The sequence below is a fragment of the Homo sapiens genome, chromosome 8 (genome assembly GCF_000001405.40).
Source record: "Homo sapiens chromosome 8, GRCh38.p14 Primary Assembly".
NCBI classification, from domain to species: Eukaryota; Metazoa; Chordata; class Mammalia; order Primates; family Hominidae; genus Homo; species Homo sapiens.
This window is the reverse complement of record NC_000008.11, coordinates 135,404,145-135,429,481: the sequence shown is the minus strand read 5'-3', so window position 1 is coordinate 135,429,481 and position 25,337 is coordinate 135,404,145. Positions and strand designations below refer to the sequence as shown.

General features: G+C 41.9%; 1 long non-coding RNA gene across 1 annotated transcript in view; it reads left to right on the top strand.

Moving 5' to 3' along the window:
- LOC101927872 (uncharacterized) overlaps positions 1-25,127 on the top strand; it is a 53,621-nt gene extending 28,494 nt beyond the window's left edge. The window contains exons 3-4 of the long non-coding RNA XR_002956731.2: positions 24,040-24,197; positions 24,816-25,127. This is a non-coding gene — a long non-coding RNA (uncharacterized LOC101927872). The remainder of the gene's footprint in view (positions 1-24,039; positions 24,198-24,815) is intronic.
- Positions 25,128-25,337: the final 210 nt, after the last annotated feature.

Genomic DNA, 25,337 nt, shown 5'->3' with positions numbered 1-25,337 from the left:
AGGGCCTACCCAATCCTTCCCAACTCTCTCCTCTTTTATAGAGGCAGCTCATCTACACCACTATTCAATAAATAATATTTATGTCAGGCACTATCCTACATAGTGTAGATTGTATTTTTCTCAATTACTTGCTTTTTCCCCTGTAAGAGGATTATACATTTCTGCCATTGGCTGGATCTTTAAATGTGAAAACACATGTAAGAGTGAACCTGCATCCAACCTGCAGCATTGAAGAAAGCATCATAACTCACGGAGCTGTGAGTCTTGGCAGATGCTGACTAGTACCCTGTGTGCTTCAGATTGAGCAAAACAGACCCTGTTTTCTGCCACATGGAAGTTATAATCTAATGAGGAATACAGGTATTAGACAATTATTATAATACATTTGGGGGAGTTTCTATTAGTCAGTGTTCTCCAGAGAGGCAGAACCAATAGGGTGTGTGTGTGTGTGTGTGTGTGTGTGTGTGTGTGTGTGTGTGTGTGTGTATCTGTCTATCTATCTATTTATCTATCTGTCTACCTATCTACCTGTTTATCCATTTCTCTGTCTAGAGATTTATTTTAAGGAATTGGCTCGTGCAATTGTGGAGGCTTGGTGAGTCATGATTGCTAATCAGCTGAACTTAAAATAAATAAGTTATCTTGGATTATCTGGGAGGTCTCAATGTAATCACAAGGATCCTTTAAATGTAGAGAGGGAGGTCTGAGAGTGATTGTCCGAGTCAGAGAGCGATTGGAAGGTGCTACGCTGCTGGTTTGAAGATGAGGGAAGCTGCTATGAGCCAAGGTGTGCAGGAGGCCTCTTGAGAAGCTAGAAGGATGAGATGGTCACTCCCCTAGAACCCTCAGAAGGAACACAGTCCTGCCAACAGCTTGACTTTGGCCAGTGAGACCTGTTTTGGACTTCTGACCTCCAGAATTGTAAGAGAGTAAATGCGTGTTGTTTTAGGCGACTAAGTTTGTGGTTATTTGTCATAGCAGCAAGAGGAAACTAACACAGCCCTTACTCTCTGTCTCCAGAGCTCACAGCTTTTGTTTTCTGATGAATTACTTCCTATTTTCTCTGTGATGTGCTTTGATGTGTGCTGCACCCTCCTAGAGTTATAATTAAAATTTGCCTTAAACACCAAGCCCACCGGCATCAGAGGAGCCATGCTGGGTCAAACTCATCAGCTCAATATCCAGTTTGTGATCGTGGTACCAGGGAGACAGAATCACTGGGGCTGGAGGGACAAGGGCACTCAAAGATCACCCAGGTCATCCCACCATTACAGATGGATAACAGATTGAAAGCAGAGGAGCAACTTTCCTATAGCTGCGGAGCCAGATGGGAGCTGAGCTAAACCCCAGCCTCTGGATACCAGATGGGGATGCTTCCCTCCTAAACATGATACAAGCCACATTCATTCCCATTAGCAGCTCACCCCTCAAAACCCGGCATGGTATAGCATGATGGTGGTCAGCGGGAGCGACGGAGTGCCGGGAGGAAGGTGGGGAGGGCGCCTGTCTGAAGGCTGCATGAGGAGCACAAAGCTGTCAGAGCCTTGGAAATATGGGGTGTGTGTCCGGGAGGCATTGTCGCCCTTCATGAAGGAATCGGGCAGAGACGTGGCAGTGTGGGTGGCAGGGAGATTCCATCCTTGGAGGAGGAGAGGCTTGTGCAAGCTGCCTGGAAGGTCCCTTGGACACTACGCTGCCATACCTCAGTGAACCGTGGCTGTGGGAAGGCCATGCTCCCTGACGTCACCTTTAAGGCTCAGGGTGTATCTTTCCCTAAACCTCTCCACCCTTCCTTTTGCCAAACCAGCAGGAGCAGCTGTTCACTTTGTGCCTTGTCACTTCAATCTTTATTCCTTTATCTCCTCCATCCCAGGCTGCTGGGAGATATATTTCTCTTACTTCAAAAAGCCCCTAACAGTCCATGCCGGCGGCTGAGAGGCGCATGCAAGGCTTGAGCTCATTTGCGAGCAGCCCTCTAGGTCCAAATCTAGTTCGGGCCAGGGCTTCTGGCCCGCCTGTTGTGCTGTCCCCACCCTGCCGCCTGTAATCGGCACCTTTCTCTCCAGGAGAAGGCAGGCTCAGTGGCATAGCCCATCACCGTGGGGCCAGAATAAAACTCAGTCATCATCATAGCTGAACTCCAAAGGGTTGTCTTCCAGCCTCTGCAAAAGCCTCAAAGCAGCCTCTGAGACCTCTGTGATATTGTGCCAGGGAGGAGGGAGCTTTAGGGACCTGGAGGATTTAATAGAGAACATGCAATTAGCATACACCTCCAGCCTCCTGTGCCCTCCAGCCAAATCTCCCTTTCCCCAAATACATTAACATACACTTGCCATGTTTTACTTAAGGAAAACAACAACAAACAATTAAACAATTATGGTCTTCTGATCTTGTTTTTCTACAAGAGAAATTCTTTTGTCTGGTGGTGGGGAGTTGTGGGGGGCGGGGATGTTGGACAGGACATGTGGCTCCCAGAAGCCAGAGCAAATTTCAATAGAGCAGCTCCCGCGATTTCCACCCACCCCCAAGACCTAGTTTGGAAAGCAGGCCTCTGACCCCAGTTTTGGTTGTCGCGTGTTTGTTTAGTCTTGCATTCAGGGCCTTCCTCGATGCATAATTTTCCTTCTCTTTCTGTGTCACTCGTGTGAGAGGAAAGAAGACGGAGACAAAAGGAGGACACAGCAGGGCCCTCCTTCCTTCTTATTCCTAAATAAAGTGTGTCTCGGGTGGGGGTTGGAGGGGAGCTTTTCACATTTGTAAATTGCAGCTGAAGAAAAGTCTCCATGGGAGGCAGGGATGTGAATGTGGTTCAGGACTAAAAAAGGGAAAAGAAGATTTCTTTTTCCTCAGTGTTTTGAGTAAAGAAGAAAATAATAACGTGGGCTTCCTGCTTGTTTCCACAAGATGGGAGAGTCACCTGAGACCTGGATGTTCAACATTTTTTTAATTTAGAAATTACACTTTATTTTAAGACATTGTCCTTTTCAAGGTATTTTCCTGGACAATGACAATATAAATAGCCATATTTCCTACTTCATTAATACCACAGGCGGATATGAGGGTTTCCATCCTCATATTGGGCTTCGGTTTAGGCTGTTTGTTGTGTCTTAGAGGGAAGGCATAGGGAAAGAGGCTCTTTTGGGTACTTTTTCTTTGTTTTAGAGACAAGGCCTCACTTTGTCATCAAGGCTAGAGTGCAGTGGTGTGATCATAGGTCACTGTAGCCTCAACCTCCTGAGCCCAAGTGTTCCTCCTATCTCAGCCTCCTGAGTGGCTGGGACTACAGGCATGTGTCACCACCATGCCTGAGTAATTTTTTTTTTTTTTTTTTTTTTTTTTTTTTTTTTTTTTGAGAGGGAGTCTAGCTCTGTCACCAGGCTGGAGTGCAGTGGCGTGATCTTGGCTCACTGCAACCTCCACCTCTTGGGCTCAAGCGATTTTCCTGCCTCAGCCTCTCGAGAAGCTGGGATTACAGGCAAGTTTTAAATTTTTTGAAGAGATGGGGTCATGATGGTGGTGGGGGAGGTGGTCTCGTGATATTGCCAAGGCTGGTCTTGAACTCCTGAACTCAAACAATCCTCCCTCCTTGGTCTCTGAAGTGCTGAGATTCCAGCCATGAGTCACTGTACCCGGTCTATTGGGTGATTTTATACAGGTAGTGTTGGTTCACATGTGCACAAGATCTCTTCATTTTCCAAATGAAGAAAGTGAGAATGAGAAAGGTGAAATACCTTACCCAGGCCTACACTATGAATGAATGTATGAATGAGTGGCTGAACTGGATCCAAGAATTTCTATCAAGTGTGCAAGTCAGTGCTTCCCTGCTGAATCATAGCTACCCCTGACACTTACACAGCCCATGGGTCCCACACAGCCTTTCCCTGCAGCTCCAGCCTCACTTCTTCAGCTGCCTTGTTGACAACATCATTAACTTCAAGCCTAACAGGTTTACAAATGAACTGTTGATTCTCTCTTCCCAACCTTTCGTTGCCTCCAAATAATGGATTTTCCCCAACACTACAGTTATCTCTTGTTGTGTAACAGACTATTCCAAACCTTAATGACTTAAAACGACCATCATTTAATTATATTTTATAATTTTGTGGACCAGGAATTTGAGCAGGACTCAGCTGGTAACTCTTCCACAAGGCTTTGGTGGAGGTCCACCAGATGGCATTCCACTGGTAGACAGGCTGTTCTAGAGGGTCCAGGATGGTTGGGGGTTCACACGTCTGGTGCCTCAGTGGGACGGCTGGAAGCTGGGCTCACCTAGCCTCTTCACTGGAGTGTCAATACGTGGCCTCTCCAGCGTGGCAGTCTTAAGGTAGCCAAGTTCTCACGTGGTCATATCTACATGCTTCTTATACAGACTACACAAGAGGTGGTGTCTCCCACTATGAATGTTTGTGCCCCTCCAAAATTCATGTTGAAGCTTAATCCCCAATGCAACAGTACTAAGAGGTGAAGCCTTTGGGAAGGGATGAGACCATGAGGACTCAGTCCTCATGGACGGAGTTAGGGACATTATGAAAGGGCTGGAGAGAACTAGCAAGACCTCCTTTTGCCCTTTGGCCCTTGTGCCACAGGAGGACACAGTGTTGCCCCTTTGGCCATGTGAGAATGCAGCAAGAGGCACCATCTTGGAAGCAGAGAACAAGCCCTCACCAGACACTGACACTGCCAGCACCTTGATCTTGGACTTCCCAGCTTCCAGAACTGGAAGAAACACATTTCTGTTGCTTATAAATTACCCAGTCTAAGCCATTGTGTTATAGCAGCACAAATGGATGAAGACACTCCCTTTGAATATGGGCTGGCCTTAGTACTTTGCTTCTGAAGAATAGAAGTGATGCTTCCAGGGCTAGGTTAGAAAAGTGATGCAACTTCCACCTGACTTACTCTCTTATGGCACAACCTGGAGTACTAGACTGATACGCACATGCCCGGTGACCCTGAAGCTGTTATGCTGGAAGAGACATATGGAGAGACTCCACAGCACCAGAGACACCCGAAGGGCTCCAGCTGCTCCAGCCTCAGCTGTTAGCTGTGTGGCTATGGCCATACCCCTTGCATGGGGCATGCCTTCTGACAAATCTCCACTCCTCTCTTGTTCCCCTACAGTATTATTTACACATCACCAGAGGCAACTTTTTAAAAATATGCATTGGATCATATAATTTCCTTACTGGAAACTTTCAGTGACTTTCCACTCTAGGTAGAGACCACCCTTTACTCTAGCCATGATATCCCAGCTCTTAGTGGCTCCCCTTCCAGCTTCAGGCCTCTGACTGTCCACTGTCCACTCAGGACCTCATTGTCCAGTCCCTCCACCGGGGTACATGGAAGCTTCTTTATCTCCTAGAAATGGGAAGATTGGAGCAGCATCTCAGGGCCACCCCTCCACACGCTTCACTCTTTTCCTTCTGCTTACCAATCCAGCTTTAACGTGAGCATGGTGGGGAAGAGGAGCCCTCACATACACAGGGATTATGCAGCATCACCCCATCTTATGGCTGAGGCTCCAGCATTGAGTGTTAGGGGTGATTTTCAGAGACCAAGGCAGCATCTCCATCCTGGATGAGGACCCACAGAGCTCTCTGCCTTCTTCTGCTGCAGAAAGTATCCCACTTCTTCTCTACAGAAAGTATCCACTTCTTTTCTGGCAGGAGAAGTCTTGCCTGACATCTCCAGTCTCTGAATACTCTGGGTGACTATTTTGGGAATCAAAAGTTCCATATAGATGCTTTCTCAGTATTACTGCTGTAAGTCTCCTAATCCTCCCTAAGGCAATGGATTTCTCTGGCTGAGTGGGGTAAAGATAATGTAAAAGGAGACACTGAAAGAGCACACAGGCAAAGGTGTGTGGGTGTGAGTTTGCATCCAAGTGTGCCTGTGATTGGGCATGCGCATGTGTTATGTGCATGTGTGTGCATGTATATGTGTGCTCATGTGTGTATTGGCATATGGAGATACATTAAATTATTCCTGCTGTATCTACTTCAAAATGCTTAACATATTCTTGTTACTTGTTTATTATCAGTTTACCTTACTAGATATAAGCACCGTAAAAGTAGGGGCTTGCCTGTCTTGTTCATTGTTGTATTCCTAGTACCTACCTAAAATAGTGCTTAAAGCACAGATGGTGCTCAAAAAGTATCTATTTAATGAATGGATGCATGAATGAATGAATTGGGATCCACATAGCTTGGAGAAAATACTGAGCTTTTCATTTAACTCCTATATTTTAACCCTGTCACTTAGGTATGTTAATTTCTGTAATGCTCACTTTGAATACCTTCTGAATAAAGAAAAAAGCCAGTGTGGTGGGATTATGTCCTGTCCTGTGCTAAGCATTTATAGGCAAATCTCCTTTCTTATTTCTGTAGTACATGTGAGAAAACTGAGGCTTAGAGAAATGAAATGACTTGTTTAAGTGAAAAGACTAAAATATGACAGAGCTGAATTTGAATCTATGTTTGTCTTACACTAGACCTCACTACATCACGTTGAAAAAATAACACCTTTGGGAATAACAGCAGTGCTTTCTGCAATGTCGTAAGGATCCAACGGCAAACAAGTGAGACTAGAATGTTTGGCACGAAATAAACACTATATGTGTTAGCAATTCTTAGAATTGTTGTTGTTGTTGTTTTACCCACCAACTTATCATCTTCATTGTTCCCATTTCCCTTTAGGGGAATAGGAGGGTATAAGATTCACATCTCAAGGGCTACAGGGCACTTTAAAGCCACTTTTTCCACCTTCTCTTCTTCCTTCTATTCTCCCACTTTCTTCTAGACAGAATCAAGGAGAGCCAGGTGAGGGCTTCACCTCAGGTATCACAGATGAAATTGGAGGGGGTTATCAGACACTTCCCAAGGCTTATCATCAGAGGTGGAGGATGAGAAAGACTGACTGTATGCAGAGTTCAAAGTCAGAGAGGTGGAGACTGCATGTATATCCTACCAGACAGGAAGGATGGGGCAGCTCTGTAGCTGGCAGAGCTCAGAGCAGCATGGAGTTTTGGGGCCTGGAGGCTGTGCTACAAGAATACTCAACTGATGTGGTGCCCAGGATGAGTTTGGAGTGGGGGCGGGGTCTCCTAATGTGTCAAGGAGGAGCAGGACACCAGGTCCGGCCTACTTTCTGCAGGTGTGGGGTGGAATTACCCCACACAAAGCAGAGCCAGTGTTGGAAGAGCAAAGTGGGAAGTGAGAGTGAAGCCGACTACAGCTAAAGCAACATCCAGAGGGAGGCAGTCAGGCTTGGAGCAGCAGGAGAGAGAAGTCAGGATACAGGCAGGATGCAGGTGAGAGGGCTCAGAGAGAAAGGCTGGCGATGACACCTGGAGGGGGTTCACTCTGGGGGTTGTCTGGGGACCCTCTTGCAGGTGAAGAGGGGTGGGCTCACCTGCACTCATTCTTTTTCATATTTCCCTTAAGCTGGGTAAAACTTTAAAATTACTTATGTAAAACACAGTCCTATAAATACACAGGAAACGGTTCATATTATTATCTTATTTGTTTCTCCAAGGTAGGGAAAGAGAGAAGGGGAGAGCCTCAGGGGTACATGCAGCTTTAGAGTTGTTGAACGACCTCTTTCCAGTTCCTTAAAAGAAAAGGAACCCTTGGGATGCTGAATCAGGCAGATCACCTGAGGTCAGGAGTTTGAGACCAGCCTGGCCAACGTGACGAAACCCCGTCTCTACTAAAAATACAAAAATGAGCTGGGCGTGGTGGCAGGTGCCTGTAGTCCCAGCTACTCGGGAGGCTGAAGCAGGAGAATTGCCTGAACCCAGGAGGCGGAGGTTGCAGTGAGCCAGGATCGTGCTACTGCACCCCAGCCTGGGTGACAGAGCGAGACTCTGTCAGAAAAAAAAAAAAAAAAACAAAAAAAAAAAACATAAAGAAAAGGAACCCATCTTTGTTTGAGAAAAACCCAAGACAGACTGTTGCAAAGCAAGAAGCATGAGAGCAGGCCGCGTAAGGCCCCCACTGTGGGCAGAAACCTCGCAGTAAATGGTGTGGAAGAAAAACAGTGAAAGTCACAGAGTAGTAGAACTCAAAAAAAACCCGAGAGATGATCCATGCCTCAAGTTTTCAAACCGAATCCTGCAGAGCAAGGGCTGCTGTGGAGCTGCCTGATGGCTGTGAGGTGGCTATTGGGAGTGTCTCCCCGTCCTTGTTCCTATTTCAACCTAAACATTTCTACTTTTACATTTTTTATGTTAAATTTACGCATAATGATTTTGCTTGAAAAGTGGATTCTGCTGTTTCTGCATGAAATGTACAAAGTGCTCTCTATTCCCATCCACCCATGTACCAGGGAGGAAAGGGAGTCCTAGAGAGAGCCGATCCTCCCAAAGGACACAGCTGGTTAAGGCAGAAAAGGAACTTGAACCCAGCACTCTACCCTTAGTATCCAGAAAGAAACAATCTATTTCCTCCTGGGGTCATTGGAATTAGTTCCTCACTCTGAGCAAGTGGTCTGATAGGAACTCATGGACTGTCTCTGCCCACGGCCAGCATCAGGCTGACCTGTGATCCCAACTCCATTGAATGTCATAGCTGATGAATGGCCCAGGCAGCTTCAAATGTTTATCATCTCAGCTGCAGAAGGCCTGACAGGGAGAGAAGAAACATCTCTTCATATATATTCATCAAAATGCTCTCCAACCTTTCAGACCAGGGCTGCCTTTGTTAGCCCAAGAGCTCCATTATAATTTGCTGTAAACCTGGCAGTCTCATGTCATTCGCATATGGCCACATAAGCTCTATAACATTTTCTGGGCTGTCATGACATTCAGAGAGGCGAGGCAAAAATAACATGCCACTTGGGCCATGGTTGAGCCTTTCTATCTTCATTGATTCTTATGACCCAACTTAGGTATGGGTTAGATGAGGGGGAGGATCATTTGAGGAGCACATACAAGATGCTGGGCAGTGCCCTAGACATTCTACATGCATATCTCATTTGATACACATGACAACCTGGAGAAGTAAGTATCTCTTAGAACAGGCTAGGCTCTGCTGCAGTAATGCATAAACCCAGAAAGCTCAATGGCTTAACATGATGCAAGTTTATTGGTCATGCAAATCCAGGCTGCATTGCAATATGGATGTAGTAAGGGTGCTCTTTCTCTTGGCTGTAGGTAGGTCTTTCCTAGTATATCTGAGATCAAGCTCATCTTGCTACCTCCAGGATTGAATCTTTCCTCTTTACTATGGTCTGGTGCACGGAAGACATTCATAATTTTTCTATTAATGAAACTTTTACCCTGTTTCTTAGCAAGTAATACAATGGACTAATGAAACTAAAGAGAGTGCAGCTCCTCCTCACCTAGACTTACATTAAAAAACATTCTGCACTGCGAATCAAATTAAAGAATATTATACTTGAATTCCCTCTTTTTTAATACCTGCAAGAGGAGATTACAACTCTTATTTTACCTAAAATGAGACTTTTCTGCCTGGAAACAGAAAATCACGATGACATATAGTCTATTTGTGAAAAATGACAATACTGATTTCATTCATAACATATTAAGGGGGTGAGGAACAAACAATTTTGAAGCACAAAATTGTGAGGTTTACTAGGTTTGGTAAAACTTTTATTATTAGCTATAAAAAATTAGGTTTAATGAAGCAATAAATCTGCTCATGAAAAGTATAAGTGATTATTAGAATTGTAGACAAAACATTCCTACTCGCAGAAGGCCTAATGGAATGAAAACAGTAATTACAATGCCAAAAATATTTTTAGGTGTTAAAATTGACACCGGGAAAATGAAACACTTTGCTTAATTTTTGATAGCGTTACATGTTGAGACATGACATGTGTGGCATTTCGACTGACACAAAGACTTGTTTTTTAGCTCAAACACATCTCGTATTTTCACACTTGGGTTTGCAATATGATTTCACAAATTTTGGCCTAGCTCCAGCTGATTGCAAAGCACCACAGTTCTAAGATACATTTCCCTTCTTCCTGTACATAATAGGAAGCGTTACATTACTCAGGAGTTTGGTTATGTTGTTATTGTGATTGTTTTTCTTTTATAAACATTTTTAAATGTTCTAATTTACCATTTGTTAATTTATGTTTTTAATTTATAATTTTCCTGGGTACATAGCAGGTGTATATATTTATGGAGTACCTGACATGTTTTGATACAGTCATGTGGTGTGACATAGGCACATCATGGAGAATGGGGTGTCCATCTCCTCAAGCATTTATCCTTTGAGTTACAAACAATCCAATTGCACTCTTTAAGTTATTTTAAAATGTGAAATTAAGTTATTATTGACTTTAGTCACCCTGTTGTGCTATTAAGTAGTATGACTTATTCATTTTTTTCTATTTTTTTGGTGCTCATTAACCATCCCCACCTCCCCACAGCCTCCCACTACCCTTCTCAGCCTCTGGAAACCAACCTTCTACTGTCTATGTTCATGAACTCTAATTGTTTTGATTTTTAGATCCCACAAATAAGTGGGAACATGTGATGCTTGTCTTTCTGTGCCTGGCTTATCAGATACACTTAACATAATGATCTCCAGTTTCATACATGCTGTTGCAAATGGCTGGATCTCATTCTTTTTTTATGACTGGATAGTTCTCCACTGTGTATGTGTACCACATTTCTTTTATCCAATTATCTGTTAATGGATACTTATGTTGCTTCCAAATCTTAGCTATTGTAAACAGTGCAGGAACAAACATAGGCGTGTAGCTATTTCTTTGATATACTGATTTCCTTTCTTTGGGGCATATACCCTGTTGTTTTCCTTTTAAATGCAAGTCTAATACTATGATCTAAAATACTATTGCTTAAAAATATTGACTCTCCTTTTAAGAGGATCAACATGATTGCAGCAACAGAGATCTGTTGATCTCTATTTTATACATGCCTATATGACGTCTGACACTAAGCAAACTGTAAATTGGGAACCAGTTTATATTTCATCTGACTTTTTTTGGACAATCAAAACATTGCCTAACAATGGTTTACAATTTCTATTTTAATACACTGCCTGTAATATATGCAAGTTTCTACAAACAAAAGGAACTCCACAAATTTCAGCAGGTCGACAGTCTGAAAGGGCCATCTCCTCACAGTGCTGAAATCAGCACCATTTGAACAAAGCAGCCTGTCTTTTTAAGAAAAATCCCTCTATAGAGATGCTGTAATTTCCCTGTTACAAAGGAGCCTTTTTCTGAGCACGTAAAGTAGCAGTTTGTTCAGTGTGACCTCTGCTTTCATTCTATCAAGGTTGTATCTGATTACAATGTAAGACAGATGAAGGGGACGCCATTCTGGGCAAAGAAGAAAAAAAGTTTTAGTCTTGGGTCACTTGCAAAAGTGGCTCAACACTTTCATTGGCAATGTTGTCAATATTTTCAGGGGTGTTTCTCCTATGTAAGCCTGAAAAGATCTGTCTGGGATATATTTTCAGGTGCTTTGATGTGCTTACTGAAAGTTGACCCACATGGGTAAACCCTGGGCTGTGTTTCTGCTTTACTTCTGAAAAACAAGACAGTGGGACAAGCGGGAGCCTCGGCGGGCATCCGCGTCAGCCCTGCCTCCTCCTGTCTCTAGGTCCTTTGGTTACCTGAGCCTGATCTGGCCCACAGTCTATTAAAAGTCATAGGAAAAACCACAGTGACTTTTGCACCAACCTTAATAACTCCTACAGGAGTTGCTGTGATTTCTGAGAAAGCACCACACAGCAGGGAGCAATACAAATGCTATTTGTGTATCACTGGAGACAGAAAATCATGATGGCAAAGAGCCCAACAGAGCCGGGTTTTAAAATCTGTTTCTACTACTAAGTCATTTTTTGTATTACCAGCAAATATTCTGCATTGTTACTATTCTGCAAGGTCACTTCTGGGTGACCTTGGACAAATTAATTAGCTCTCTGATCCTCAGTTCCATCCTCTCGGCACAGGCTTGTCAAGAGTTAAATGAGATGATGTACATCATTCTCCAGGCTCACAGCCCAGTACATAGTAAGTGTTCAGGGAATGTCAGGTAGGATTACTCTTCATAGTTATAGTGATTTTAGGAAGGAGATAAGGCCCCGGGAGTTTCTACCTCACAGAGAACTGTAGGAGGGAATATAGTTTCGTGTAATTGAAATGGCATGCACATTGGAGCTAGACCTGTATCCTGTTTCCAGTTCAGGGGCTTTGGCTACATCTCTTCCTGACACGGAATTTCCCAAGTGTTGAAATGGAGACAATAATTTCTACCTCCTAGTGCCTGACCTCTAGGATGATCCATAAATGTTATATAAATGCGAGGATGAAGTAACAAATATAAAGCATTTGCCGTGTGGTAGATGCTTTACAAATGTCATCGAGTGCTTGGGGTTGGATTATCTCCATCTCAGCAGGATACTGTGCTCTGGGAAGCTCTGCCTTGAAAACACATCTCAGTCCCACCCCATGCCTTCATCCAAACCCTCAGCACCTGCTGGGAGCCGCAGACTCCTCTCTGGTGTTCCTGTGGCCACTCTTAACACTGCCCTCCACTCCCCACCCAGCAGTCTAGAGGGATCATTCTAAACACGAGCCAAATCATGATGCTCCCCTGCTTGAACCCTGCAATGGCTTCCTTTTGTTCTCAGAATGATGGCTCATGGCTCCTGGCATGGCCTGGTCCCCAGCTGCCTGTCTAGCTTCATCTACTGAGGCTCATTCCAACCTGGCAACATTGTCCGTGCTATTCCTCTCATGCAGCAAGGACTTTGGCTGTTCCCTTTGTCTGAACTCTTCTTTACTCACATCTTTCCTGCTCCCTCTTTCCCTTCATTCAGTTTTCAGTTCACACATCTTCCCTTAAAGAGGCTCCTTAGCCACCAAGTTTCCCCTCCTTGCCCATTCACCATTGACCATTACCGCCATATTGTCTCCATGACAGTTGTCACTCCTAGACATGCTCCTTCTTGTTTACTTTTTTAAACACCTTTCTTGTATGTCTTCCCCCATGAATTAAACCTCCCTGAGATCAGGTGCTTTGTGTGTGTTATTCACCATGTGTCATCCATGCCTAATTCAGAACCTGGCATATAGTAGGTGCTCAATTGATGTTGGATTAATGAATATTGATTGCTCTCTATGTGTCGGACACTGGTTAGGGTGTTTGAGATTTAGAGATGAATGGCTTCTTTGTTCTCAAAACAGATACATATTGTAAGAGAGATAAGCATTGGGTATTATGGGAGAACACAGGCAAGACAAAGGCATCTAAATAAAGTGGGGATGATGGTGGAGGTGGCAGAGCCTTCCCCGGGTGACCAATAAGGTCTGAATCTTGAAGATCACGCACCAAATTATAATGTCCCCATCCCCAGACTGTTGTACCAGGTAGAAATTGATTACATATGAAAGTACTTTGTAAACAAATGCTTGCTGTTAATATAATGGCTGCTAGTAACCTCCATATAAGGATGTGCATTTGCTCTTGCTCCTCTGAACCTCATATTTTATTTCAGGATGATGCATTTCTTTTCCCTTCCTATGCAAAGAAAGCCCCAAACTCCAACCACAAGGCTTTACATTCAGGAGGAGACCATGGGTGGCAAGTTTAAGACAGCAGAGAGGCTGGGTGTGGACGTAGCCCTGGGAAATAGCTATTGCTGCTGCTGCTGCTGCAAGAATGGCAATGCTGGCTGCCAGAGCCCTCTAGCCCCTCACAGTGTCATCAGGGGAGATGCTGGCGAGAGGTTCTCACAGAGAAACACAAGAAGAATTGCTGTTAAAAATATTGTGACAAGGTATATGAAGCACTGAGGGATATTCCCGAGTTTCTCAAGAGTGAGGCAATCGCTCCCACAGTCATAAAAGTGCCTTGGCAAGCAAGGACAGTAAATGTAATAAAAAAGGGGGAAATGTTGTCTAAGCTCATAAAGGAGGAAGGTGATTGTGTAGTTACAGTCCTTCATAAAATCTTTCAACACAGGAGAGGGAAAGAAATTGGGTCAGCAGACCATGCCTCCATCATGCTCACTAACCTGGACAAGATTGGTCAGCTGAAAAACAACAGGACCATGCCATTATTCTAGTGAATAAAGATGGGCCTCGAGGGAGTGAGTTCCCTGTCATTTTAGATTCAGCACAAAACATAGTCCAAGGGTAGAAAACTTAGTGGACTAGGATCAAGAGACCGGGGCTCAGGGCTTATTTTTTTCTGAGTTGTTGCATGGCTTTAGATAGTTGCTCAATGTGTTTATTAGTCAGGGTAATTAACCCCAGTTGCTGTAAGAAACAACTTCACAATTTTTATATCCTAAAACAATAAATATTTATTTCTCTCTCATATCACCATATAATGTGGATCAGCAGAAGGCTTTGTTCCACATGGTCATTCAGGGACCCAGGTTAGTGGGTACTGCCACATGCAGTGCAAGATTCTCAAGGTCATCCTGGGTGTTAACTTCCAGCCTGCAGGTAGGAAAGAGACAGGTGGCATGGAAGACCACACAGAAGATTTAAAGATCTGGGGACTTATAAACTAAAATTACTAATTATTTCTTTCTCTTCATGTCCAATGGTGCCACAGAGATAGAAATTACACAGTGATGTCTCCCATTCATAAAAGGAGAGAAAAGAAGGCATACAACAGTTGCTGGACCATAGCAAGGTGGAAATCCTGAGTGCAGTGCAGACATTGTGAAGCTTTCTTGCCCTAGCAGAGGGTGAATTCCCTAGACTTTTATGCTGCTCCTTCAGTAGAACTACCATGTTCGTTTTCCTCAATGGCCCTGACTTAACTCTCTGGGAGCTTTTTCCTTGCTTCCTATCTTCCGGGAGCACATTTGAAGTAGCTGTTGAGAAGAAGCTCTTTTTGGGGGCTGTATAATTTTTGGAGCTTCCATAATCTTTGCTTATGGAAGGTTGGAGGTTCAATGGCTTGTTTTAATGGTTGTTAAATTATCACATTGTTAAGGATTTTTTTTGTCTAGACGTGTTTTCTTTGATAATACAATCCTCCCAAAATCTTCGTCAACTTCTAAACTTTTTGCTTCCAATCAGTTCCAAGTGCCAATCACCACATCCAAAGATCTTTCCTGGATGTATTTTTCAAGCCTACCTTATTTCTTTGCTTCCTCCTCCCCTTCCTCCTCCCCATGCCTTTCTCTCTCAACTTCATAGTTCACTGAGACTATCAGAGTTATATGAACAGGCCACATTCTTAATCTGATCTTTCTTGCAAAGTTTGGTTTGTTTGCTTGTTTGCCTATGTAGATCAAAGATTTTCTCAATCATATTTTCTGCCATTTGATTCCTGTTTAGAATCCGTCAGGTTTTCTGATCCTTCAAGGTCCCATATTTCTGGATTCTATCCCTTTTATTTTTGCTTATAAACCAGCTAATGGTCCCCTGATCACAATTTGTTTTCATAATGCTTTGTCAAACAGCCAATATTAGCCAAGCACTCCCAACATTTGATTTTCCACTGGAGATGGGGCCATTACCGCCTTCAAATCTAACCCACATCAGATGTCCTGTTTCTTGGAGCCAAATGCTGTATCAAATGCTGAAACCATATGTGTTTCAGGAAAAGATAAATCCCTCCAGGTATTCTGAGCAGGAAGGGATTTAATACAGGCAATTAGAATTTTGCTTTGTCATTGGAAATGCTAAAGAAGAAAAGTCAGGACCCACTGCACTCTCATCCAAACTCTCAGTGAGGGAAGACAGATGTAAAAAATGCTGATGCACATTATGCAAGGGGAAATTCTGGAGTAGACTGTGTGTGTATAGCTGCACAACCTGGTATAGCCTAGGGGAGGAGGAACATATCCTGTTTCCTTTGCTTAGGCTTCTGTAGTATATGAGGGACTAGCATTCCACATTTCCCTGACATGAGGATACTGTGACCATTGTCCTTCATAAGCTACACTGATTAGATGCTGGGTGATAAATCTTATACCTAACAACATAGAGTTCTGATAGAAGTGTAGTATCTACATTGAAAACTAATAAGTAGAATGTTTGGTTCTCCATTACTTCTGAGATAAAGTCTGAACTTTATATCATGACACATGAGGGTGGTCATGATCTGTCCTCTCACTTCTTAAGTCTTTCTCCTTGTTGGGCACCACTCCCATATTTTATTGTTGTCATATGAAATAAATCTGTGTTTTATAAACATGGCACATTCTCTCACTTCTCCTTACCAGGCTGTGCCCATAACCTAGAATGCCCTCACCTTGAGAGCTCTCCTAATCTGAAGAAAAATTTTAAAGGAATATGTTGAACTAAATAAAAATGAAAATACAACTTATCAGAAATTGGTGCAGTAAAAGCAGTGCTGCAAGAGAAATTTATAGCATTATATGCATATATTAGAAAATAAAAGAGATTTAAGATTAAAAAATTCTAAGTCTCCACCATAAGAAACTAGAGAAAGAAGAGCAATTTAAGCTTAAAGCAGAAGGAAATAAATAATAAAAATTAGAACAAAAATCAATAAAATTGAAAGCAGGAAAACAATAGAAAAAATGCTGGTTATTTGAAAATATCAATAAAATTGATAAACCTCTCTCCAGGTTAACCAAGTTTTTTAAAAAAGAGAGAAGACACAAATCACCAATATCAGAAAGAAAGAAAAGTCATCACTAGTAATCTGATGTTAAAGGATAACAAATATTATGCATCTTTTTTTGATGATTTAGATGAAATAGACCAATTTCTTGAAAAGACATAAGCTACCAAAAGAGAAATAGATAGTCTGACTAGGCCTATATTTATCTATTAGATAATTTGGGTCAATAATTAATACACTTTCAGAAAAGAAAGCACCAGGGTTGGATGATTTCACCAGTGACTTCTATAAATGTTTAAGGAAAAAATGATACCAATTATCCACAATATTTTCTAGAAAATAGAAGCAGAAAGAAACTTTCTAATTCATTCTATAAGGTTGGTATTGCCCTAATACCCAAACTAGAATAAGAAAGTACGACAAAAGGGAAGTACAGAATAACATTTCTCATGAACATAGATGCCAAAATTCTCAACAAAATATTAGCAAATAAAATGCAACAATGGATAAACAGAATCATACACCATGACCAAGTGATATTTATTCCAGATATACAAAGCTGGCTCTACATTTGAAAATAGTCAAAATCACTATATCAATAAATAAAAGAAGAAAAATATGATCATATCAATTGATGCAGAAAAAGCTTTTGACAGTACACATTCATGATAATACTCTCAGCAAACTGGAAATAAAGGGAAATTTTTTCAACTTAATAAGAAACACAAAAACACCTACAACTAACATCATATTTAATGAAGTGAAATGATGTTTTCTCCTAAGCTCAGTAACCAGGCAAAGATGTCCTCTCTCACCACTTCTACTCAACATCACACCAAAAAATCCTAGCTAGTGCAATAAGACAAAGAAAAACAAACAAAGAAATGAAAAACAAAGAAAAAAGAAAAGAAATAAAAATATATGCAGATTGGGAAGAAATAAAACTGTTTTCATTCATAGACAACATGTTTGTGTATGTAAAAAAATCCTAAAGGATGGCCAAAGTTTCCAAAACGTAAGTGATTATAGCAAAGTTGTTGGAAAACAGATTAACACAAGAAGTCCACTGCTTTTTTATATACCAATAGTGAACAATTGAACTTTGAAATTTAAAAATTAATATGATTTGTAGTAGCATCCCAAAACTAAAATATTTAGGTATAAATCTAACAAAATATGTACCAGACCTCTGTGTGGAAAATGACAAAACATTTACGAAAGAAATAAAAATATCTATATAAATGGAGAGATATTTTGTGTTTCCAGATTGGAATATTCAACATTGTTAAGTTGTCAATTCTTCCCAACTTGTTCTATAAATTCATATCTAATCAAAATCCCAGCAAGGTATTTTGTAGACACCAACAAAATGATTCTAAAGTATATATGGAAAGCCAATGACCAAGTATAGTCAACAAAATAACAAAGAAGAAAAAAATGTTGGAGAACAAATAAAATCCAATTTCAAGACATACTATAGCATGACAGTAATCAAACAACATGGTAATGGTGAAAGAATAGATACATCAGTCAACAGAGAGGAATAGAGTCCAGAAATGCACCACACAAATATAGTCAACTGATCTTCAACAAAGGAGCAGAGGCAATTCAGTGAAGAGAAGATGGTCTTTTCAAACAATGGTGCTGGAAAAATTGAGTATTCATATCAAGTAAATAAAAAATAAGCCTAGACATATGTTACACCTTTCACTAAAATAAACTCAAAATGGAGAATAAAATGAAGTATAAATGCAAAACGAAAATTTCTAGAAGAAAACATTGGAGAAAATCTACATTTCTTTGGGTTTGCTGATGAGTTCTTAGATACAATACAAAAAGAAACATACATGAACATAAATTGATAAGTGGACTTTATTAAAATTAAATAATTCTGCTCTGTGTTAGTTATTGTTAAGAGATTCCAAAGCCAAGTCACAGAATGGGAGAAAATACTTACAAAACACTATCTAATAAATGACTTATATACAAAACATACAAAGAACCCTATAAGCCACCATTATAAAAACAACTCACTTTTAAAAAATATGCAATCAATTCAACAACAACCAACCAACCCAGCTAAAACATAAGTAAAGAACTTAAACAGACATTTCTTCAAAGAAAGTATATAATTGGCGAACAAGCACAAGAAAAGATGCTCAGCATCACTAATCATTAGAAAAACCCAAATCAAAACCACAATGAGATACTATCTCACATCCATTAGGATGGTTACTAACCATAAAACCAGAAAATAACAAGTGTTGGCAAGGATGTGAAGAAATTAAAAAGCTTGTATACTATTGGTGAGAATATAAAATGCTACAGCCACTATGGAAATCAGGATGATGCTTCCTTGAAAATATTAAATTTAGAATTACCATATCATCCAGCAATTCCACTTCTAGGTATATACTCAAAATATTTAAAAGCAGGCACTCAAAGAGGTATTCGTATACCTAGGTTCATAGTAGCATTATTTGCAACAGCCAATATGTAGAAGCAACCCAAGTGTTCATGAACAATGAGTGAATAAGCAAAATGTGCTCTATGCATATAACTAAATATTATTAAGCCTTTAAAACGAAGAAAATTCTGACATGTGCTACAACATGAACTTTGAAGACAATATGCTAAGTGAAATAAGCCAGACACAGAGTGACAGATTATTTTATTATTCCACTTATATGAAGTTCATAGAGTAGTCAAATTCATAGAGAAAGAAGAATCACGGTTACTAGATGCTATGGTGAGGAAAGCATGGGGAGTTATTGTGAAATGAGTATAGAATTTTAGTTTTAGAAGATTAAAAAAAGTACTAGAGATGGATGTTGGTGATGGTTGCATAATTTTATGAATGTACTTAATGCTAGTGAACTGTACACTTAAAATGATTAAAATTGTAATTTTATGTTACATATATTTTGCCACAATAAAAAGTAAGCAAAAGATCTAAACATACACCTCATCAAAAAAGATACACAAATGGCAATGAAGCATATGAAAAGATGCTTAACATCTTCGGCCATTGGAGAATTACACATTCAAACAATGGAGAGCTCTACACATCTATTTAAAATCCAAAAACTCTGGCAATACCAATTGCTGGCAAATGTGTGGAGCACCAAGAAGGCTCATTCATTGCCAGTGAGAATATAAAATGATACAGCCACTGTGGCAGTTTCTTACAAAGTGAAGACCAGTCTTATCGTTTGATCTAGCAATCGTGCTCCTAGGTAAATAACCCAATTGATCTGGAAACATATGTCCACATTAAAAACCTCCACATGAAAGTTTGTAGCAGCTTTATTCATGATTGACAAAAGCTAGAAACAGTCGACTTGTTCTTCAATAGAACATTTGTTAATGAATAAGCAAACTGTGATACAGCCATACAATGGAATATTATTTAGTAATAAAAAGAAATAGACCATCAAGGCATGAACGACATGGAGGAAGCTTAAATGTATATTGTGAATGAAGCCAGCTCGAAAGGCTATATACTCTATGATTCCAATTACATGACATTCTGGGAAAGGAAAATCTACAGAGAAGGCTAAAGAATCAGTGATTGCCTGAGGTTTTGGAAGGTAGGGAAAAGCGAGAGTTGCATAGGTAAAGCAGACAGTTTTTTTTAGGGTAGTGGAACTATTCTGTATGATATGTTAATGATGAATACATGATACTATGCATTTGTCAAAACGCGTAGAACTTAACACACAAAAAGTGAATGTTAATATATGCAAGTAACAGGAGGTCAGTAGATGACAGGATGGAATGAAGACTGTGTCAAAACAGTCTAACTGTATCACAAATATATGAGACAACCTCACTGAAGGAGACAGGGAAAAAAGTTAGTGACCTAATATGTTTTAAAAATGAGTGGAATCTGTTAAGACCAAAGGCAAAAAAACTACACATAAACATTGTATTCTAGTTGATAAAGTTGCTTCCTATGAGGTTACAGGTCAACAATTCTGATACCACCATCATGAATACTGGAATGTAACAATTAAGTAAATGACTGGTGAGCAGAGGGAGTCAAGTTTCTCACTGTTGATGTGGGAGGTTACAGATTAATAGAGCGGAATGCTAGAATGATGCAGTGATGAATTAGAGTTGGAGACATCCGTATGAACTCACGTTTAGTTTAATATAGATACAGGTGGTTATATTAGAAATATTTATGGATATGTATATATAGATTGGTCAGTATACCTACACATATACATATATATTATATATACATATATATGTATATCCATGTGTATACACATATATTCCTTCTTTTGTCAGTTGAGAGGATCTAGAAGCAATAACACTCTGGTAGCAACAGCATACCTAGTGCCCAGATCTTGGTTGCTAATACCATTCTCCAATAAAAGGAATCAGAGCTCCTTGGAGAAACAGCTGATTCACAACTGGGCAGTGAATATACGAAATAAACTTTGTAATGACAAAAAGCAAGAAAGTCTTAAAAAAGAGTTCATAATGATGAGGATCTATCAAAGGGACACAGGAACCCACTGAAAGAGCTCCCAGTGACCAAAGCTGGAAGAATTTAAGCAAAGGAAGGAGGGGAGGAAGGAAGGGAGGAAAAGAGAGAGGGAGGGAGGAAGAAACTACTGGATTATAACCCAAAGTATAAAGTAAATATTCATGAGTCCATACTGATAAAAATAAATGATTAAATAAATAAATGGGGGGAGAATAGAAAAACCTTCAGTGCAGGAGAATTCTAAGTAATTTATATTGATATTCCGCCCTCAAGGAAGTGGAGCATAACACCCCACTTCTGAAGTGTAGACTATACATAGTGACTTTCTTTCAAACAGCATAATAAGAAAGTGTAGAAAAAGAGTGACCAGAGTGGAAAAAGCTGGCAAATACTACCTTAGCAAGGTGATCAAGGTCAACATTAACAGTGATGTCATGTTGATAGTATATACCCCTGACATATGATGAAAACGGCAGTTTACCTCTGTAGTCTTCTTCCTCAAAACCCGTAATACCAGCCTAATCCTGAGGAAAATATCAGACAAATCCCAGTTGAAGGACAAAATGCCTGACCAGTACTCTTCAAAACTGTCATGGTCATTGCAAACAGGGAAAGTCTAAGAAGCTGTCCTGCCAAGAGGAGCATAAAGAGACATGACAACTAAAATGTGGCTGGGGTAGGATGTGGAGGGGATGCTGGAAGATAAAAAGGTTATTAAGTAAAAACTAAGGAAATCAAGTGAAATGTGGACTTTAGTTAATAATAATGTGTTATTGCAAAATGCTTTCTTCAACAAATGCTTGCACGTAAGGCTATCGGACAAAAAGGACTAGTGCTCTGCTTAGAGTAAGTGGCCCTTGAAAAGACCTGGTAGATTCCCTTGTGATTCTTGAAGCACACCTTGAAGTTTCTGGACCAGATGGTTTCTATATTCCCTTGGAGCACAGCAGATTACAGAATTGACATCATAGAAGGTATTCCAACCTGCCAGTTTACCTCTTAAAAAGAATTTCCAGGCTGGGCTTGGTGGCTCACACCTGTAATCCTAGCACTTTGGGAGGCCAAGTTGGGCGGATTGCCAGAGCTCAGGAGTTTGAGACCAGCCTGGGCAACACGGTGAAACCCCGTCTCTACTAAGATACGAAAGAAATTAGCCAGGCATGGCAGCATGCACCTGTAGTCCCAACTACTCAGGAGGCTGAGGCATGAGAATTGCTTGAACCCAGGAGGCGGAGGTTGCAGTGATGAGATCACACCACTGCACTCCCGCCTGGGCGACAGATTGAGACTCCATCTCTCAAAAAAAAAAAAAAAAAAAAAAAAGAGTTTCTGCTGGTCTATGGGAAAATGAGAAAAAAAAGGCAAAATAGGGACAATTCTAGTGAATGGCACCCCCAACACTGGAGTTGTGCACTGCACAACCTGTACAAACATACACAGCAGCCCTGAATGGGATGTGTGTCAGTGTAAGGTCCTCACTTTGCTATCTTGCAGGGAATATCCTTTATCTCACATTGAATTATTTCTCCTTTATGGGGCATTTGGAGGAAATGCTGACATATTCTTTCTTTGGGATATTATATGGTCGAGTTTTTCTTAGTATTTGTTTTTTTGTGTGTGTTCTTACTTTACAAAACACAAAATTGGGAACCTTACGAATATTCTTTGAAACTGTACTGATCCATCAGATTCCAAAGTCTGGGAACCCTTGACCTAGTGCAGCCTCCTGTGGGTGGTGTGTAGGACTTCTTGTTCCCTACAGCATCTCAAGGAGAGAGTGCTCAGGCTGCAGCAGCCATGCCACTGCCAGCTCATGTCAATGGCATGGATGGTGAATTCTCCTCTTTAAGTTGGCCCCAAACTAGCCTGGTTCTTCAGGAACAATCAGTGAGGAGGACGGATATATTTATAGTAAAATAGTCTTTGACCTGAGAGGTGGAGAGTCTTGATTAGGATTCCAGGTTTGCCACTAAGCACCTCACTTAACTGGCCCTCTATTTACAAATCAGTAAAATAGGAAAAATAAGACCAGCTTCGGCTCAATTGCACGGGTATGGTGATGTTCAAATAAACTAATAGACATAAGTGCTAATTGAATGTAAAACATCCTAGGTATGTAAGTTAGGACTGAAGTGTCAAAAACAGTAATAATAATAATGTTGTGATCATTACCATTGGGGTCTTTTCTGTGGGCTTCAGGGTCGCCTGCTGCCAGAGGCCCCTGGAGAGCATCTCTCTACTGGCTGTGATCCCACTAGGGTCCTCTGAGGTCGTATCTGCTTCTGAGACCCACTCAATGCCCTTGTCTTTCCTTCTGCAAAGTCAAATGTTAATATGCTGAGCTCCTTTGTGCTTCTTGTTAATAGAAGTCCTTGTCTTTCAGTAGTGGCCTTGCCTGCTGTCATCAGGAAGGGACATGTAGGGACATTTCGCATTACTCCAAGTGACAAGCTGGAAGCATATCCCCCCTCACTAGCCTTGAGTTCACTTTCTGGCAAGAATAGCTGAAAGCATGAGCTTAAAGACTTACCCCCAGAGCTCCATCCTCCAATTGCATGATCCTGTAACACAATAAGTGTGCTCCAAAAATAAATGAACAAATAAAGATGATGAGGATGACGATAAAGAACACGTACCAGGTCCAAAACACTGCTGTAAGACAGTGCATTAACTTATGTGAATAAACTTATTAAATTCTTACCTCAATCCTGTGAGGCAGGCACAACATTATTCTCATTTTACAGATGAGGAAATGAGACATGATGAGCTCCAAATTCATACAGCTAAGAAGCTTTAGAGCTGAGATCTGAACCCAAGCAATCTCTGGATTCAAAACCTGGGCACTTAGCCATTAAGCTACATTATGTTGCCTTAAAAAGAAAGGGCAAGGATATGAAATGGACCAACGGCATGTTGGGTTTCTGCCTGCCCTCCACCAGTTTCTTCTCTCAATCCTTCTGGTCTTGCCTTACCAAACATCTCACAGGATGCCGACATGCTTACTCCTTGGCGCTCTGGTTCTTTGTGATGGTGGTGGCAGCCTGTCTGGAGTGGCCTCCATGAAGACTCCAGTTGCAGCAGGAACTCCAGTTCCTGCATGGCCAGGGCTGCACACTCCATGGAGCTGGTGGAAGCCTGGAACAGGTGAGAGCCACACCCTCTTCCAAGTTGAAGGGTCAAGAGCCCTACCCTACCAGGTGCAGCTGCATGCTCCTAGCTGCAGCTGCAGACCCAGGCATCCCTGTGCTCTCAGGGGCCCAGGAACCCCACCTCCCCCAGCAAGCTTGTAAGTGCCTGCTATCACCGCCTGGCCTCTCTCCGCTCTGGTGCCTGTTCTAATTTTGGAGCAAAGTTGAGGCCAAGCCCAGGCACTGTCATGACCCAGTTGGGTGTGTGTGTGCTCAGGGCAGTGCTGACATGCCTGCCCCCTGCTGTCTCAGCCCCCTCTGGACTTTGGCACTGATGAGCATGGGAGGGAGGCTGAGTGGGGCTGAGGGCAGTTCAGTGCAGGCCTGCAGGTGCCTCTCTGTACGAACAGCCTGGGCTCCATGGGCAGCAGGTTGATGGTGGCAGGAGGCAGACGGGCTTCTGGGCAGAAAGGAGTGGGTCCCCAGTGAAGCCCCACTTTCAAGCCAGGGATGGCCTGAAGCCTGGGGGCTGGGTTGTCAGTTCCGCGACTGGAGTGGGAACTGATGGTGCTATTTTCCTGCCTGCCTATGGCTGCTCATGGACCAATCAACATGCACGTCCTCCCTTCTGAAGCCCACAAAAGCCCTGGACTCAGCCAGCTTTGGATAGATGACAGGACAACCTGTGGAGAGGAGCTACCCATGGTGGGTTGCCCCCTGCTGAGAGCTGTACACTCATCAGGATGACCTGCCAGCAGGTAGGAGCTACCCACTCCAGGTCTCCTCTCTGCTGAGGGCTACAGAGAAGTCAGGATGACCTGCCTGTGGATAGAAGCTACCTACTCCAGGTCTCCTCTCTGTCGAGGGCTGCAGGCTCCACTGGATGACCTGCCTGTGGAAAAGAGCTACCCACTTCAGGTCTCCTGAGAGCTGTTCCATCACTCAATAAAGCATCTCTGCACCTTGCCCACCCTCCAATTGTCCATGTACCTCATTCTTCCTGGATGTGGGACAAGAAATTAGGACCTGGGCCGGGCGCGGAGGCTCACGCCTGTAATCCCAGCACTTTGGGAGGCCGAGGCGGGCGGATCACGAGGTCAGGAGATCGAGACCATCCCGGCTAAAACGGTGAAACCCCATCTCTACTAAAAATACA